The 19,619-nt window shown below is 39.1% G+C and overlaps 2 annotated features.

The window, feature by feature from the left end:
- Window positions 7,284-8,055: an enhancer, noted in NCBI's record as "OCT4-NANOG hESC enhancer chr9:75069728-75070499 (GRCh37/hg19 assembly coordinates)". NCBI's record gives its function as "activates a minimal SCP1, AML or CMV promoter by ChIP-STARR-seq in naive H9 embryonic stem cells {active_cell/tissue: H9 hESC(naive)}" and the evidence as "EXISTENCE:reporter gene assay evidence [ECO:0000049][PMID:30033119]".
- Window positions 18,415-18,674: an enhancer, noted in NCBI's record as "active region_28458". NCBI's record gives its function as "activates an Ori minimal core promoter by ATAC-STARR-seq in GM12878 lymphoblastoid cells {active_cell/tissue: GM12878}" and the evidence as "EXISTENCE:reporter gene assay evidence [ECO:0000049][PMID:35858748]".

Here is a 19,619-nt window from a genome sequence, read left to right as displayed (position 1 = left end):
CGAATGGTCTTCTTCACACCCTGGTGAGCATGTCCTCCACTTGAATGTCTCTCCATAAAAAGCCTGTCTTCTTTCTCCCTGCAGAGTAGGTGAATGCGTGTTTTATGGCCCATGGATTAGTTCTGGGGGTGGAGTTACAGGTTAACAATTGCTTAACATTTCCCATGATTTTGGATTCTGAATTAATTTCTTCTGTGGAGAGTCCAACCAAGAAATATCATCATTCATTCATTCCATAGGTAATGTGCATGGCTGTGTTTCAATAAAACTTTATTTATGAAAATAGGTAGTCAGAAGGATTTGACTTGTGACCCAGAGTTTGCCAATTCCTCGTCTAGACAATTGGTTTACTTCCCCTATCTGATTTGACTATGGTGATATGGGTCTATGGAATTTTACTTATCTGACTCTTGAGTCATACTGTTTTCTTTTACTTGAATAAGTAAGAAAATTCAGAAAAGCTAGTCCGTTTCCTGATGCATATTTTTATACTTTACTTTTTCAGATACTCACTTTACCTTCTGTCCCCAGATGCACTGACAAAATGAGTTAATCCCTTATTTCTTTTTCTTTTTTGAGACAGAGTTTCACTCTTGTTGCCCGGGCTGGAGTGCAATGGCATGTTCTCGGCTCACTGCAACCTCTGCCTCCCGAGTTCAAGCAATTCTCCTCCCTCAGCCTCCCGAGTAGTTGGGATTATAGGCATGTGCCACCACACCCAGCTAATTTTGTATTTTTAGTAGAGATGGGGTTTCTCCATGTTGGTCAGGCTGGTCTCAAGCTCCTGACCTCAGGTGATCCACCTGCCTTGGCCTCCCAAAGTGCTGGGATTACAGGAATGAGCCTCTGTCCCCGGCCTAATCCTTTATTCCTTACAAAATTAATTTGACATAGAGTCAAAGGAATAACTTAAAGACATAACGTGGCCTGTGAAAGAACAAAAGTCTCCTTGACCAATATCTTCTGGCTGGAAACTTCAGGATGAATCTTGTTTGTTTTTGTAGGTGATAACATGTATGTCAAATACTACAGGGGCAGGAGAAGCAGAATATGGCTTTCAGAAAGAGAGTTAACTTCAACTGTAATAGGTAAAAAGCTACCTACTAATGACTACAATGTGCTACTGGCACATTGTATCATTCCCTTGTCGGTGTGTTCTAAGATATAGTCTACCTCAATTCTTATCCAGTGTTTCTCAAACTTGAGTGCCTATAGGCTTTACTTTGGAAGTAAGTTAAAATGCTGATTGTTTGTAGGTTTTCTGGGATTGGGATTCAGGGATCTGTCACCAAACACTTCTGGGGATTCTGGTGGGGCCAGCCAATAGAACACATACTTGCTGAAAAGAACAAAGTAAATTTCCTGAGTTCAAAATCTCTGTAAGGCAGAACTGAAGATTGATGAAAATATGTCTGAAGCTCCTAAATCAGAACTTGGCAGATAGTACATGCTCATTAGATCTAAATGATTTTATAATTAATATTATTGTATAATTATTATGTTATACATAAAGAGAACTATATATTCCGTCCTATGAAAATGGGAATCATTTAAATTGCAATTAGGTAAAAAGGGGAAGGAAGGAAATTAATAAATCTTCAATACCAAAAATGAATGCACTATAAGAGGGTCAGAAACTACAAGAGTTAAAATGAAAGGTCATAAACTGCTGAATCATTAGGTAATCATTAAACCAAACTAGAGACAAGTAATGAAGGAAAGGGGGAAAACTCCTTAATAGCTATTTGCCCATATGTCACAAAATTGAAGCAAAGATATGTTTATTATCTGGATCATCTGGGCCTTATCCACAGTTCTCTGATTCTCTTTGCCTGAGTAAACCTGAATCTGAGGCTATAAAATTGAGAAAGTAATGGGACTTAGGGAAAAGGGAGATTTTCAAACTGTGATTGAAGTCAAAGAGCCATTTCAGTCTAACAAGATCATTGCTCTTCTCAATAAATCCCCAGAGATTGATGGTTTTGCTTAGCCCCTGGCAAAGAATATCTTGAACTGTTTTCAGGCCAGGCCTGAAATGCATTCACTTGTTCATTCGTTCATTAAATCAATATTTAATGACGTGCCAAATACTGTTCTAAGCACTTGGGATGCATAAGTGAACAAAATAGATAAAGATCCCTGCCCTCAAAGAAATTACAAAGAAAGGCAGATAAGAAAAAATAAACACAATGAATAAATAAGCTATATAATATAAAAAGAAAAAGGAGCAGAGTATAGGAGAATGTGGGAGTGTAAGTCGTGGTCAAGGCAGCCCTCCGTGGGAAAGTGAGATTTTAGCAAAGACCTGAGAGGGTGAGGGAGCAGAAGCCAGGCAAGCAGCTGTGGGCAACGGAGACTTCCCGGCAAAAGGAACAACCAAGGTCACAGGACCAGAGAGTGCAGGACTTATACTTATTCTTATTCTTATTATTTTTACATAAAGAGAGCTATATACAGTCTCACTGTCATCCAGGCTGGAGTGCAGTGGTGCGATCTAGGCTCACTGCAACCTCCACCTCCTGGGTTCAAGTGATTCTCCTGTCTCAGCCTCCCAAGTAGCTGAGATTACAGGCTTGTGCCACCATATTTGGCTAATTTTTGTATTTTTAGTAGAGATGGGGTTTCACTGTGTTAGCCAGGCTGGTCTCGAACACCTGACCTCAGGTGATCTGCCGCCTCAGCCTCCTAGAGTGCTGGGATTACAGGCGTGAGCCAGGACTTATTTTTAAAGAATATTAAGAAGGCCAGGCATGGTGGCTCACACCTATAATCCCAGCGCTTTGGGAGGCTGAGGCGGGCAAGGTCAGGAGTTTGAGACCAGCCTGGCTAACATGGTAAAACCCCATCTCTACTAAAAATACAAAAAATTAGTCGGGCATGGTGGCAGGTGCCTGTAATTCCAGCTACATGGGAGGCTGAGGCAGGAGAATCACTTGAACCCGGGAGACGGAGGTTGCAGTGAGCTGAGAGGGTGCCACTGCACTCCAGTCTGGGCAACAGAGCAAGACTCTGTCTCAAAAAAAAAAAAAAAAAGAGAATATTAAGGAGACTAGTGCAGCTGGAGGAGAGTGAATAATAAGAAATGAGAGCAGAGAAGTAACTCAGGGCCCCAGATCATTGTAGGGCCTTACAGGCCATTCACTGTAAGAACTTTGGCTTTTACTCTGAGTGAAATGAGAAGACTTTATATGGTTTTGAGTACAGGAGTGACATGGCTACTTTAGGCTTTAATTAGCTCAATCTTGCTGCTGTGTGGACAGTAAGCTATAGAAGAACAAGTGTAGATCATGCCTGCGGTAATCAGGCTGCATAGCTTATTGACCTCAGCAACAGTGCTTTATACATAGGGGCACTTGGGAGCTCCACTGAAAATACTGATCTCTGCCTGTGCTTGATTGCTGACCCTTAACTGAAGGTTCTGCTTGCTGCTCAGTTTTGACCTCTGGCCACCATGAAATCTAATTACATGGTCCCAGCCATCCTGTTGTTCTCTCAAGTTTGCATTAGCTACCCTCAAAAGGTGCACAAAGTTCACTCTTTTTCATCCAGCAAATTCCAGAGCCCATCACTATATTAAAAATTAGTTGGAAAATAGAAGCACTTGAAACCTACTTTAAGAGATAAGAATAAGTATCATATCATATTTTTAGTTTCTACAATATGCCAGGTGCTGTACTTTATGTATATTAACAGTTAATCCTCTTAACTCAGAGAGCTAGTATTATTATGGTAATGTCTCAATGCTAGAAACCATATCTTGAAGATACAAAGTAATTTGTAAGAAGAGAAGGCAAAATTCAAACCCAGAAAATGATACTACTACCCTATAATACGCAATCAGCTTTGAAATGTTTATACCTCAAATGCCTGGTTTTAAAAAACTGTTTTCCACACTCTTCATTAGTATAGTTTATCCTGTTAAAACTGTATTAAGAGAACAAAGGAAATGTTAGCCTGGCCCTGACTTCAATATGACAAATTAAATTCCCTGTAATCAAATACAGTCAGGATTGGTAGTTAGTTGGTTAATCCAAAAAAAAAGTTAAAGTGAGAAAAGTTAAGAAATTATACAAGTATAGCTGAATAGTATATTTTGGCATCAATTATTTCTCTCTGCATTCATTCATCAATCTTTCGTTGTAGAACATTTTCTTACAGTTTGATTGGAGTTCTATTGCTTTCTCACATAAAAGCGTCATCTTTGATCTCCAGTTTCAGTTTCTTTAAAGTGGAATAAGAAAATAAGGTCAGCTGTGAAGAAATATAAAAATAGACTTCTCTAGATATTTATCAGTATTTTCTAGCTTTTTATGATGTCTTCTTCACACCTGATTATATTACATGCTTATAGACTCATCCCAAGCATTAGTTTCTCATAGAAACAGCTCTTTTTTTTTTCTCACACTTATATTACTTTGGCTTTTACACTATTTAACAAATGATGTAATTTCAATAATAAATATAACTGAGATAAACAGATCTGGGAACAAACTCAGCTGACTCTTGGTAAACATAAAACTCAACCAATAGGGGAAGGAATGGATGAATGTACTAGAATAATCATCTGGCTGCTAGCTTTCTGCAAAAAGCATTGTCCAAGTTTTACAGAGACAATGGAGAGCATGGATTACTCTAGTGGATTGGTTAAATGGATGTTGATTAACTGAGCACCTATGGTATAGATTATTGGATGCCAAGTAATGAATCTTATCTGGAATTGTACGACATAGGAACTGGAGTGAACAATAACAAAAGTAGCTAGTATAACCCAATCATTTAACAAATGAGAAAATGCAGCCCTCTAGAGTTAGAATATCTTCCCAAGATTACTTCATTAGTAAGGAAAGGAACAGATTTCATGCTCTCTGTTCAATGTTCCGTCCTATACTGGCGAATTCCATTCTGCCACTATTGGATAAAGTGCCTTGAAGGACCTAATTTTCTCTTTTCCCTCACCTGTTTTCAAGTGCAGTGCAAAGAATTTCTCTTATCTGAGACTAACGTTTTTATTACCTAAATAAAAAAATTAGAAATGTTTTACTTTGAAGTTTTCATACAAAAAAAAAGACTAGTTTGTTTTTCATTTCAATGTCAATTTTATATAAGTCTCTTCCGAAAAATGAAAACTTAGAACTAATATTTTTCTATAAACATGGCCCATTGAATTCACAGGGACTCACATTTGGGCATTGGTCAGAAACTAGAAAATAGCTTGAGAGAAAAAAAAATGACTGAAATACTATAAAGACTGAAAAAATAAACAAGAAACCAAACTTGCAGCTGACTTTTCCAGATATTTTGCCAAGATGGCTAAGGTCATTGGTAACTACTCTATTCTCATGTAACACCATCAAAAATATCTGCCATAGAAATAGATCAGAAATTGTAATATTTACTTTGCAAAAAGTACAAGGCTTGTGTGGTGTGTACTCGTGTATATTTATAAAAATGGGTCAAAATATAATGTAATAAAAGTCTAAAAATGGAACTGGAGAATTAGAACCAGATTCCATATTCTCCTATTGGTTTATTTTTCTTATCTATTTTCTTTCTACTGGAAACATATCTACTAAAAAATTAATTTGGCATCAGTAATGTGTACCAGTATTAACTCCACTTTCAACTTGGGCCTCAGCCTTCTGACAATAATGAACTACTTTTTTTTTTTTTTGAGAGGGAGTCTAGCTCTGTCGCCAGGCTGGAGTGCAGTAGTGTGATCATGGCTCACTGCAACCTCCGCCTCCCAGGTTCAAGCAATTCTCCTGCCTCAGCCTCCCAAGTGGCTGGGACTACAGGCATGCCCCACCACACCTACCAAATTTTTGTATTTTTAGTAGAGACTGGGTTTCACTGCGCTGGCCAGGATGGTCTCGATCTATTGACCTTGTGATTGCCCACATCAGCCTCCCAAAGTGCTGGGATTACAGGCGTGAGCCACTGCTCCTGGCCAATAATGAACTACTTTTAAGCCCTACATGTCATGATTACTTCCACCAAAGAGGAGTGGTGGGTGCTTAACATCCCCTGAGGAGGAGCATCACTGCTCCCTTCTTGCTGGAAATCTTCACCCCACCCCAGAAGGATCAGACTGGTACTGCCTTGGGGAATCACTTGGGTAATTGGTCTACGTGAACTTTTAAATATTTACTCCAAAACTTCCATATATTCCATTGGTTTATTTTCAAACCTTTTTGATTTTGTTTCCTCACATATACTTTTCCTTCATTTTATCATTAAATATTGGGATCCCACAGAGTTCCAGACCTGACCCATTGTTCTTCCTCATCACCTATTCTACATGACTTCATTCCCTCTCAGAATTTTTGCTAGCACTTGCTAGGGGTTCCCAAATCTATGAATCCAGCACAGCCTCTCACCAGTAAATGAGAGTCATGTCAAATCCCCACAAAACAGCTCTAGATTTTTACCATTCAATTTGGATGTTTATCATGTGTGTAATTACAGAGTCTTAAGACAATGCAGCTATACACGGTAGCTCACGCTTGTAATCCCAGCACTTTGGGAGGCCGAGGCAGGTGGATCACCTGAGGTCGGGAGTTCGAGACCAGCCTGGCCAACATGATGAAACCCCGTCTCTACTAAAAATAGAAAATTTAGCCGGGTGTGGTGGCAGGTGCCTGTAATCCCAGCTACTCGGGAGGCTGAGGCAGGAGAATCGCTTGAACCCAGGAGGCAGATGTCACAGTGAGCCGAGATCATGCCATTGCACTCCAGCCTGGGCTGCAGAGCAAGACTCTGTCTCAAAAAAAAAAAAAAAACAATGCAGTCTTACTCAAATTAATAATTCACTGTTCTTCATAATAGCATGCTAACAAATTAATTAACTAATAGCTTTTCCTGGTCACTACACAACCACCACCACCACCACTACCACCAGCAGCCCTGGCTCTATCATACCTTTTTTCTCCTAAGCCTCTTTGCAGATTTATAGTCACAATCTCATATGTTGAAATTCCTAACTTGGGAAATATTGTCAACATACAACTCCACAAAGGCACCACAGATTACATGTGCTTTAGGAATACAAAAACAAAAACCAAGAAAAAAAATCAAAACAAAAAAAAATGCAAGAACCAATACTGAGTATCCAAGTGCATAGTCTCATTTGACTTCACGTGTTTATTTGCATCTTTATTCCCCAGAACTAAGAAATGAGGAAGGGGAGTGGGGAGCAAAAACAATTCTTTGAGAAAAAGTTCCAGAAATAAAACTGTAGGTAGGAGATCGGGTAGGAAAAGAGGTGAAAAAAGTGCCGCATTTTCCACTTAGACTAATTAAATCTAATCACAGCTGCCAACTAACTGTTGCATTGTGGGTATATAAAGTCAGCTTAAAGCCTTCATTCCTGATTAAATCAGTACAAGCAGTCCTAATGGCACTAATGATAAAGCAAGCCCCATTAGACTGTTAAAATATAACAGGGATCCACTTTCACAGATCATTGTATTTCTGTGTAGCAAGAGCCTGCCACTCTGCCAAGTGCCCCAGTAATCATTCTCTCTTTCTTGATCTTTTGCAACTTTCCCCAGGGCTTGCAGTAAATTTGAGGTAGAACAATGAAGTCTTTCATGTGGAAGAAAAGAGAGAGAAAAGAAAAAAACCCTCTGGAGGCAATGGTCTCTCTTTCCTTTTCTACATCACTGTGAGCATACTAAAAGAAACAAAAGGAAAGGATCAACCCCCTTTCCACTAGTCAAAAGGTATTTCAGAAATAAAGGAAGAATCCTTGAGAATGGCTTTGTGTTTGTCTGTCTTCCAATTGACTGCCACCGATGGTATGTGTTAAACCTTTTCAGTGTCAGGAATCCAAGCCCAGAACAAACAACCAAAGCACAGACTCAGGTTGTCTTCTACAAAGCAATGAATGACATTTTGCTAGGATGACCAAGAGCCCTTGGCATTATAGAGAAGTCTATAAGAAAAAATGCTGGCACCATGGAGCGGTTTGAATGTTTAGACAGACAAGTGTAGATGAACCTCCTAAACTTGATTGTATTGTTTACAAAATAATTCAATAAGATGAAGAGTGAGATCTTGAAACTTATATTTAACTTCAGAGTCAAGAAGGAAGCCAAGTAAAATAGAGAGCTTTGGAAGATCAGAACCTATATTATGTCTAGATCTCAACTATTTCCTTTTCTTCAGTAGAAAGCAAAAGAAAAGCCAGAATGTTTAGAAGTAGAACCAGTACATCCATAAGATCTAATCAGTACATTGTTTGTAATCCACAAACTACTCAAGAGGCAAAGGACACAGGAGTCGCTGCTTCTGCTTTTTTTTTTTTAATAGATTGTCAACAGTAGACCTTTTAGTCCAATATGTCCTGCCTTAATATAGTGTTAAAAATTATTTCAAAATAGTGTTCCTTTATATTTTATAATACTTTACAAACTGAAAAAGGAAGGGGCCTAACAGGATGTATTCTTCATAAACTCGCTTTATCCTGACTTCAACACAGGTAGGTATTATCTCCACTATTAGTGAGCCAGTATGAGTGATAGCAACTCAATTATATAAATGAGGAGTCAGAGCATTGGAGAAGCTACAAGGATTAGACAAGAGTCTTATACTTTGGAAGTAATAAAGCCCAGAAATGAAACCTAGTTGTTCATCTAGCATTATGTTACCACATGAACAAATTATATTTAAATAACGTAGAAAGCTACCTTTTATAAGAGACAAGCAGACAGTTTTAATCCTGTTTAACTCATCATATACCAAAGCAAAAGCATTTGTCTAAGAACATTCAGCCTCATAATCAACATTAGCCAAATGCATTTAGAATGAAGGACCAATGCTGCATGAATGTGTACTCATTGATGAAGTTAATTATTAACATCTTCATCTGTTAAAGCAGAACCATACTGGCACCAGCAGGGACCCCAGCTGAACCCCGCTCTTCTAATACTTCAAGTGGTAACAGCACCACCAATTTTAATTGGTAACAACAACACCAATTTTAATATTGCTGATTTACATGTCATGATAAATGCGTCTGGCTGTACTTCCCTGGAGGCTTATTTAGAAGTGAAAACAAAGGCACTATTTATTTATTTATTTATTTATTTATTTATTTATTTATTTTTATTTTATTTTTAATTATTTTTATACTTTAAGTTTTAGAGTATATGTGCACAATGTGCAGGTTAGTTACATATGTATACATGTGCCATGCTGGTGTGCTGCACCCATTAACTCGTCATTTAGCACTAGGTATATCTCCTATATGCTATCCCTCCCCGCTCCGCCCACCCCACAACAGTCCCCAGAGTGTGATGTTCCCCTTCCTGTGTCCATGTGTTCTCATTGTTCAATTCCCACCTATGAGTGAGAATATGCGGTGTTTGGTTTTTTGTTCTTGCAATAGTTTACTGAGAATGATGATTTCCAATTTCATCCATGTCCCTACAAAGGACATGAACTCATCATTTTTTACGGCTGCATAGTATTCCATGGTGTATATGTGCCACTTTTTCTTAATCCAGTCTATCATTGTTGGACATTTGGGTTGGTTCCAAGTCTTTGCTATTGTGAATAGAGCTGCAATAAACATACGTGTGCATGTGTCTTTATAGCAGCATGATTTATAGTCCTTTGGGTATATACCCAGTAATGGGATGGCTGGGTCAAATGGTATTTCTAGTTCTAGATCCCTGAGGAATCGCCACACTGACTTCCACAATAGTTGAACTAATTTACAGTCCCACCAACAGTGTAAAAGTGTTCCTATTTCTCCACATCCTCTCCAGCACCTTTTGTTTCCTGACTTTTTAATGATTGCCATTCTAACTGGTGTGAGATGGTATCTCATTGTGGTTTTGATTTGCATTTCTCTGATGGCCAGTGATGGTGAGCATTTTTTCATGTGTTTTTTGGCTGCATAAATGTCTTCTTTTGAGAAGTGTCTGTTCATGTCCTTCGCCCACTTTTTGATGGGGTTGTTTGTTTTTTTCTTGTAAATTTATTTGAGTTAATTGTAGATTCTGGATATTAGCCCTTTGTCAGATGAGTAGGTTGAGAAAATTTTCTCCCATTTTGTAAGTTGCCTGTTCACTCTGATGGTAGTTTCTTTTGCTGTGCAGAAGCTCTTTAGTTTAATTAGATCCCATTTGTCAATTTTGGCTTTTGTTGCCATTGCTTTTGGTGTTTTAGACATGAAGTCCTTGCCCATGCCTATGTCCTGAATGGTAATGCCTAGGTTTTCTTCTAGGGTTTTTATGGTTTTAGGTCTAACGTTTAAGTCTTTAATCCATCTTGAATTGATTTTTGTATAAGGTGTAAGGAAGGGATCCAGTTTCAGCTTTCTACATATGACTAGCCAGTTTTCCCAGCACCATTTATTAAATAGGGAATCCTTTCCCCATTGCTTGTTTTTCTCAGGTTTGTCAAAGATCAGATTGTTGTAGATATGCGGCATTATTTTTGAGGGCTCTGTTCTGTTCCATTGATCTATATCTCTGTTTTGGTACCAGTACCATGCTGTTTTGGTTACTGTAGCCTTGTAGTATAGTTTGAAGTCAGGTAGCGTGATGCCTCCAGCTTTGTTCTTTTGGCTTAGGATTGACTTGGCAATGCGGGCTCTTTTTTGGTTCCGTATGAACTTTAAAGTAGCTTTTTCCAATTCTGTGAAGAAAGTCATTGGTAGCTTGATGGGGATGGCATTGAATCTATAAATTACCTTGGGCAGTATGGCCATTTTCACGATATTGATTCTTCCTACCCATGGGCATGGAATGTTCTTCCATTTGTTTGTATCCTCTTTTATTTCCTTGAGCAGTGGTTTGTAGTTCTCCTTAAAGAGGTCCTTCACATCCCTTGTAAGTTGGATTCCTAGGTATTTTATTCTCTTTGTAGCAATTGTGAATGGGAGTTCACTCATGATTTGGGTCTCTGTTTGTCTGTTATTGGTGTATAAGAATGCTTGTTATTTTTGCACATTGATTTTGTATCCTGAGACTTTGCTGAAGTTGCTTATCAGCTTAAGGAGATTTTGGGCTGAGACAATGGGGTTTTCTAGATATACAATCATGTCATCTGCAAACAGGGACAATTTGACTTCCTCTTTTCCTAATTGAATACCCTTTATTTCCTTCTTCTGCCTGATTGCCCTGGCCAGAACTTCCAACACTATGTTGAATAGGAGTGGTGAGAGAGGGCATCCCTGTCTTGTGCCAGTTTTCAAAGGGAATGCTTCCAGTTTTTGCCCATTCAGTATGATATTGGCTGTGGGTTTGTCATAGATAGCTCTTATTATTTTGAGATACGTCCCATCAATACCTAATTTATTGAGAGTTTTTAGCATGAAGGGTTGTTGAATTTTGTCAAAGGCCTTTTCTGCATCTGTTGAGATAATCATGTGTTTTTTGTCTTTGGTTCTGTTTATATGCTGGATTACATTTATTGATTTGCGTATATTGAACCAGCCTTGCATCCCAGGGATGAAGCCCACTTGATCATGGTGGATAAGCTTTTTGATGTGCTGCTGGATTCGGTTTGCCAGTATTTTATTGAGGATTTTTGCATCAATGTTCATCAGGGATATTGGTCTAAAATTCTCTTTTTTGGTTGTGTCTCTGCCCGGCTTTGGTATCAGGTTGATGCTGGCCTCATAAAATGAGTTAGGGAGGATTCCCTCTTTTTCTATTGATTGGAATAGTTTCAGAAGGAATGGTACCAATTCCTCCTTGTACCTCTGGTAGAATTCGGCTGTGAATCCATCTGGTCCTGGACTCTTTTTGGTTGGTAAGCTATTGACTATTGCCACAATTTCAGAGCCTGTTATTGGTCTATTCAGAGATTCAACTTCTTCCTGGTTTAGTCTTGGGAGGGTGTATGTGTCGAGGAATTTATCCATTTCTTCTAGATTTTCTAGTTTATTTATGTAGAGGTGTTTGTAGTATTCTCTGATGGTAGTTTGTATTTCTGTGGGATCGGTGGTGATATCCCCTTTATCATTTTTTATTGCGTCTATTTGATTCTTCTCTCTTTTCTTCTTTATTAATCTTGCTAGTGGTCTATCAATTTTGTTGATCCTTTCAAAAAACCAGCTCCTGGATTCATTAATTTTTTGAAGGGTTTTTTGTGTCTCTATTTCCTTCAGTTCTGCTATGATTTTAGTTATTTCTTGACAAAGGCACTATTTATGAAGATTCTCTACATTCTTAACTTAGTTGGAAAAGCGGAAAGTCACCAGAGAGAGAGTTACATTTGGGTCATGGTGCATAATATCTTTGGTATACTATGAGTGTTCAATCACCCTTAAGGCACAACAAAATGAAGATTTTCTGATTTCTATATATTTTAATTTAACTAATATTTATTGAGTAGTTGGTATCCAGAATGCATTTTAAGACTTTGAAAATGGTCCAGGCATGGTGGCTCATGCCTATAATCCCAGCACTTTGAGAGACTGAGGCGGATGGATCACCTGAGGTCAGGAGTTTGAGACCAGTCTAACCAATATGGTAAAACTCAGTCTCTACTAAAATATAAAAATTAGTTGGGCGTGGTGACATGCACCTGTAGTCCCAGCTGCTCGGGAGGCTGAGGCAGGAGAATTGCTTGAATCCAGGAGGCAGAGTTTGCAGTGAGCCGAGATCATGCCACTGCACTCCAGACTGGGCAACAGAGTGAGACTCCATCTCAAAAAAAAAAAAAAAAAGACTGTGAAAATGAATAATATGACAACCTAGATCTGGCATAAAAATATATGTCTATATACCAGCTACATATATGTGTGTGTGTGTATATATATATATATATATATGTATGCCTTAACAAGACCCACCCAGCCTTAGCAAGACGCACTCATGCCTTCAGAGATTCCAATATAAAGATGTGTGTGTGTGTGTATATATATATACATATATATATCTCTATCTTCTTCCTCCCAAAGTCACTAAAATTATATCAGGGAGATAAAAATTTATAAACAAGATTTGGAAAAAGATGAACAGTGGGTTCAATGGAACAATCTAACTTTGCTCCCATCAGAAACCACTATAAAATCACTGTAAAGGGACAGATAGACAGACAGATATAGATATGCTTTTAAAGATATATACCCAAAAAGAAATGAAGATAATATAACAGCACAAAATTTGGGAAGTCAGGAAAGCAGTCATATGAGTGTTAACTAAAGAGCCTTGCAGACCCAAGAAAGAAATGAGGAAAGCTGAAAACTGACCACATCTTCACTTCTAAATTGCCAAAAGTCTCAGAAATCAGCAGTTTCAGATACCTCTGGAACAGGAGATTAAGGGGGATGGGGAGCCAAAATAAGAAAAATTGACTGGAAGATTTAAAAAAAGCAATTGGAAGCTGGGAATGGTGGCTCACATCGTAAATTCCAGTGCTTTGGGAGGCTGAAGCAGGAGGTTGCTTAGGCTCATGAGTTTGAGATCAGCCTGGGCAACATAGCGAGATCCCATCTCTATATAAAAGTAAAGTAATAAATAAAATAAAACTAAAAAACAATTGTATCCCCCTCCCTAGATTCTATTCGTGTCACTGAGTCAATTCCCTTTCAACACAACGGCATAAGTCTAGAAAGTTTAAACAGAGACTCAACTGAGAGGGAAGCCATGTCATAATTGAGGGTGTGAGTGCCAGCCTGAAAATGTGTGGGCTACCTGATTCCTAGCAGATAGGCCCTACTCTTCAGACATAAGATTAGAAGATATCTCTCTAGAGAATCAGCAGAAGTGGAAAGACTTAATGTAATATTTGGGGTTCCCCCGAGAGTCGCCCAGCCAAATTGTCCTACAAGGAAACTCAGCCTTAACAAGACCTACTCATACCCTCAAAGATTCCAATCAGAAATTGGATTCCCACACCCTGAATCATGGACAGTCAGACAAAGATTACCAGAATCTGAGGAAAATTTCTAATGTGGAACATACAGGCAAGAAAAAACTATACAAAATACTTAGAGAAAAATGACTAAACAGAGAGAAGGCTTCACAAAAATTCTCATTAATATCCCCAGAGAGAGGATTTTCATTCATACAGATTGCTAACAACTAAGTAGCATTTATGAAAAAAGAACAAGATGGTATAAAATATAAGACATTCAGAGAGCAAAGTAACTCTTGGAAAATAAAATTTGATAGCAGAGAGGAAAGAAAGTCAGTAGATGTTGTCAGAAAGGATGATAATGAAATCTTCAAAAACAATTATAAGATTGAGGGATCCCAGAATGAATGTGGAATGTGACAAAACAATCTATTATAAATGTGTGAAACAACCTCACTGAAAGAAGGGGTGGGATACTGACCGAAATTGTATTGGAAATGTATGGAGTCTATAAGACTTTTTTTTTTTTTTTTTTTTTTCCGAGATGGAATCTCACTCTGTCGCCCAGGTTGGAGTGTGCAGTGGTGCAATCTCAGCTCACTGCAACCTCTGCCTCCTGGTTCCAGCGATTCTCCTGCCTCAGCCTCCCAAGTAGCTGGGATTACAGGAATGCGCCACCACACTTGGCTAATTTTTGTATTTTTTAGTAGAGACGGGGTTTCACCATATTGGCCAGGCTGATCTCGAACTCCTGACCCCATGATCTGCCCACTTCAGGCTCCCACAGTGCTGGGATTACAGGGGTGAGCCACCGCGCCCAGCCTGGAGTCTGTAAGACTAAAGGTAAAAGAAACTACACAAGCACTGAACTCTAGTTGATAAAGTTATTCTCATGAGGGCACCAGTTAACAATTTCAATGTCATGATACATGTATATTGGAAATGAACAATCAAGTAAGTGGATGTGGGATGCTATGAGCCAGGATTCTCACTCTTGGAGTGTGAGTTTACATATAAGAAAAAGAAGCAGCTAGAATAATTTGTGTAATATATTAGAGCTGAAAACATCCATCTGAACTCAGGTTTTGCTTAATATGGATACCAATGTTACATATACAAATATTAAGAGATATATGTATATATGAGTTGGTATATACACATCTATTGTTTGCTCTGCCAGCCGAGAGGCCCTAGATGCAACAATATTCTGTTAGCGACAAACACATCTAGTGCTCAGATCTTGGTTTCTAATACCACTTTCTAGTAAAAGTAACTGGGTCTTCTTGGAGAAATGTCCGATTCTAGGATTGGGAAAGGAAACATACAAGGTAAGCCTGAAGTATTTTATAGTGCCAGAAAGTAAAAAATAATGCCCCCAAATAAATAAATAAATAAATAAATAAACCCATAATGTTGAAGGTATTCAAAAAGATCAAAGGATCTGACTTAAAAAACCCCTAATGGTCAAAGCTGGAATAATTCCAGCAACAAAATAAATGAAGTAGTATTAGATTATAACCCAGAGTATAAAATAAATATTTATGATACATGCTGTTATAAATAAATAATTGAATAAATAAATAAGGAAGAGAAAAGAGAAAAATCTCCCATGCAGGAGAATTTCAAATAATTTATGCAGATAAAGAGGTAGAGCATAACTCCCCACCTAAGTATGAGGGGGAAGGGGAAGTGCCACACACTTTTAAATGACCAGATATCATGAGAACTCACGGTCACCAAGACACCACCGAGCTGTGAGGAATCTGCCCTCATGACCCAAACACCTCCCACCAGGCCCCCTCTCCAGTATTGGGGGTTACATTTAAACATGAGATTTGGATGGGGACAAATATCCAAATTATATCATACACTTTTAGACAAATTTAGATAATGACACCAAAATAATTAAAATCCCAAGCTATTAAGAATTAGACATAATTTTCTCCATGTGGGGAGGAATGAGGCAGCTGCTTATTTTTTACCATTTGAAATCTTTAACTAACAAGGGTATGTATTACTTTTAAAAAGATAAAAGTGGCCGGGCGCGGTGGCTCACGCCTGTAATCCCAGCACATTGGGAGGCCAAGGCAGGTGGATCACCTGATGTCAGGAGTTCGAGGTCAGCCTGACCAACATGGAGAAACCCCGTCTCTACTAAAAATACAAAATTAGCTGAGTGTGGTGGCAGCTGCCTATAATCCCAGCTACTCAGGAGGCTGAGGCAGGAGAAGTGCTTGAGCTCGGGAGGCAGAGGTTGCAGTGAGCCAAGATTGTGCCACTGCACTCCAGCCTGGATGACAGAGCGAGAGTCCATCTAAAAAAAATAGATAAAAAGATAAAAGTTGGCTGGGCACAGTGGCTTAAGCCTGTAATCTCAGCACTTTGGGAGGCCAAGGCGGGTGGATCACCTGAAGTCAGGAGTTCAAGACCAGCCTGGCCAACATGGTAATACCCCTTCTCTACTAAAAATACAAAAATGAGCCAGGTGCGGTGGCAGGCGCCTGTAATCCCAGCTACTCAGAAGGCTGAGGCAGGAGAATTGCTTCAACACAGCAGGCGGAGGTTGCAGTGAGCCGAGATTGCACCATTGCACTCCAGCCTGGGCGACAGAGTGAGACTCTGCCTTAAAAAAAAAAAAAAAAAAAAAAAAAAAAGATGAAAGTTATCTTGTAATGACTAAGATGCCATTTCTGTCATGAGGAATCTTGTAATCTGTACAGAAAACTGGTTATAAAAGGGGGATGAAAGGAGAGAAAGAAGTAGGGAGGTGACAAAATCTTTATTGAATGTCTACTTTGTGCTATGCATTTTGCTGGATAAATCACATACATCATCTCATTTAATCCTTCTACTGTTGCAGTGACTCCCCCCCCTTTTACTCTGAACAATGAAGGCTTGAAAAGGTTAGCTAATTTATTCAAGAGCACAAAACTTCTCCATGCCAGAGGAAGGAATCAAACCCAGGTCTATCAAAGTCTTAATTTATGTACTTCCTCATATAGAAGGCAGTCATCTAAGTGCTAAAGATATTTGGATATCAGCAAGATTTTTAAGATAGACACTGCTCTCTTGCTAGACAAAGTTGTAGTAAAGGACAGGGTTACCTTACAGATCTAGGACACAGCAGGATAAGTCAAGCTCCAACCCCTTGGTGAGACCTTCTCCAGAGAAGCAGACCGCTGAGGGACAGTTTTTGATGTCTGTGTCCTATCTAACATATACAAAACTCTTAACAGCTGGAGAGATGAATGATTCATCTAAACCCATCCCAGGAGTCCTGAAATCTTCCCCTTTGTTGCAGTGAGACACATTAACTGGAGGAGAGATGGCCTCCTGCAAATCTCCATCACAGTCAACCCTCCCATCTTCTTGTTCCACTTCCCTGTCACTCACCTATGAGATTTGGAGATAGGCTAATTTGGTCACATTATTCCTCAGCTGGTCCCTTTTGGAGAAATCTTTTTAGGTATTTTGGTCACCAACTTATTCCCTTCCTTAAAGTAATTTTTGTTAAATTCTCACCACCCTCTTAACTTTTAATTCCTCTTCCTCTTTTCCTCCTCCTCCTCCCTTTCTTTCCTCTTCCTCTTTCTCTTTCTCTTCCTTTTCTCTCTTTCTCTCAGTTGATAACTGTGCCTACCACACCTCCAGGAAACATAAACCATCAATTTTATAACCTAAAATCCAATCAACCTCCATACACATCCATTCTTCCGTTCCTCCCATGACAGAAGAAGAGGAGCCCTTCTAGGCAAAGCTAATTCTGCTGCTTTTGTCCTTATCCTGTTTACTCCTGCTTATCCTGGAGTCTGTGCCGTCTTTTATTGTCTCTCCTCTGCCTTTTCACTCCTCCTTCTCCATGAGCATCTTTCCCTTACTATAAAACATAACTAACTTGCTCCCACTGATGAATATCTTTTCTTTCTTCTTAATTCCACTTTATTTCCCAGGTGTCTGTGGAGCGTGTGCTATGTGCCAGACACTGTGCTGGGTGATGAGAATACTTTGGGAAATGAAACATCCAAACCCTGGCTTCAGGGAGCTTACAGTCTAGTGAGAGAGCAGATGATAAGTAGGCATCTAAATATAAATTTATAAATTTCCACAAATAGGGCACAGTGCTAGAGAGTAAACAGGGAGTCCTCTAAGTTAGGGTAGCCAGGAAAAAGCTCTTATCATTCCATCACTTCCATTACTGGAGTGCAGACTGTTATCTCTCACCTGGGTTCTAATGAATTCTTAACTGGATTCTCTGCTTACAAATTCCCTTTTTTGGTCCTTTTCACGTATTACTACCATAGTTCAGTGTCTAAAGCAGATCCAAACTTGTCATTCCTCTATTTGTGCCTTCAGTAGTTTCTCAATACCTGCAAGCCCAGATACTTGAGCCCAACATTTTAAAACACCTAGATGAGTAAACAGACTAGAGATTGCTCTATAAACAGAGACCAGTGCTGTGAGCAATGTTTGGTGCTGATGTTAATCTCCAGAACTCCCCTGGGCTTGTTATTTTTGACAGCCATTCTCTATTTTGATTTGTCTTCTTTAACAAAACAAAACCAAATGAAGAATGAAGAGCATCCAATGGAGGACCTAGAGCAATTGCATTCTCTCCTATGACTACTAAGTAGTTCTAAGAAACAGGTTAGGCTGTGGAACCTGCAAAGTGGAGAAGAAAGTGGCTGAAACTCTGGAGAAAGAAAAGGCCACACAGTTGACTGCTGCAGGAGACCAAATTTGACATTCTTCTTTAAAATGCTATTAGGAAAACTGGTCAACTAAAACAAAAAGAAACTAAATTTCATGAATTTCTCATTTGGTGAAATGGGCTTTTGTGAATTGGCCATTGAGTGAGTTTTCTTCAAGAGTCTAGGGGAATTTGACATTCTGACTATTTGACAGACTCCACCAGGGGGAAGTGAGTTATATGAGTCAAGATTAATGGCATGGGCAGAGGAGCTTCTGTCCCACTTCCTTTTTAGTAGCTGAGAGCATACTGTGTCTCTTGTTGCCTCTCTGTCAGCTTGTGGATAGCAAAGTGTGGGCCTAAACTTCACGCTTCCAATACGCCGCCAAAGAGAACATGGAACTTGATTGAGGGCCTGATTAGGAGCTTGATAGAAGATGTCTTGACAAAAAAGATGAGATGACCTGTTAGTGGTGAGCCAGAGATGGTTCACCGGGTCAGAGACCTGCCTATTAAATTATAAGAAACTTTGCAAGCCAGTTGTTAAACACAGCAATACTTAAAAACAAAGATATTTCAACTTACATTTAAATTAATTCTATTAAAAATAAAGACAAGAAATATTCAAAATTGTCACTCCATAGTTATTAGACTACATTTTACATATTATCTATGTTCTTGAGCTTATATGTATCTATTGTATCTGTAAGGCAGATCTTTTTCCAACTTCACATTTGGTGACACCACACTGGTACCTTGAAATGCCAAGGCAGAAATGTTTGCACCACAAAAGTCTGCAAATACCACAAATCAGGGCTCAAGTGACTCAGAACCAACTGCTAATCATACTGCGGTCTACACTGCAGGGCAGACTTCCTGTTTGAAGAGCTAGGAGAGGTTAGCACAGTGACTCATGCCTGTAATCTCAGCACTTTGAGAGGCCAACTGGGGTGGACCACTTGAGGTCAGGAGTTCGAGGCCAGCCTGGCCAACATAGTGAAACCCCATCTCTATTAAAAATTAAAAAAAAAAAAATTAGCCAGGCATGGTGGCACATGCCTGTAATCCCAGCTACTTAGGAGGCTGACACACGAGAATTGCTTGAACCCAGAAAGTG

Source organism: Homo sapiens, chromosome 9 (genome assembly GCF_000001405.40).
Source record: "Homo sapiens chromosome 9, GRCh38.p14 Primary Assembly".
Lineage (NCBI taxonomy): Eukaryota > Metazoa > Chordata > Mammalia > Primates > Hominidae > Homo > Homo sapiens.
The sequence above is the reverse complement of the archived record's forward strand: the minus strand, read 5'-3'. Positions and strand labels throughout refer to the sequence as shown.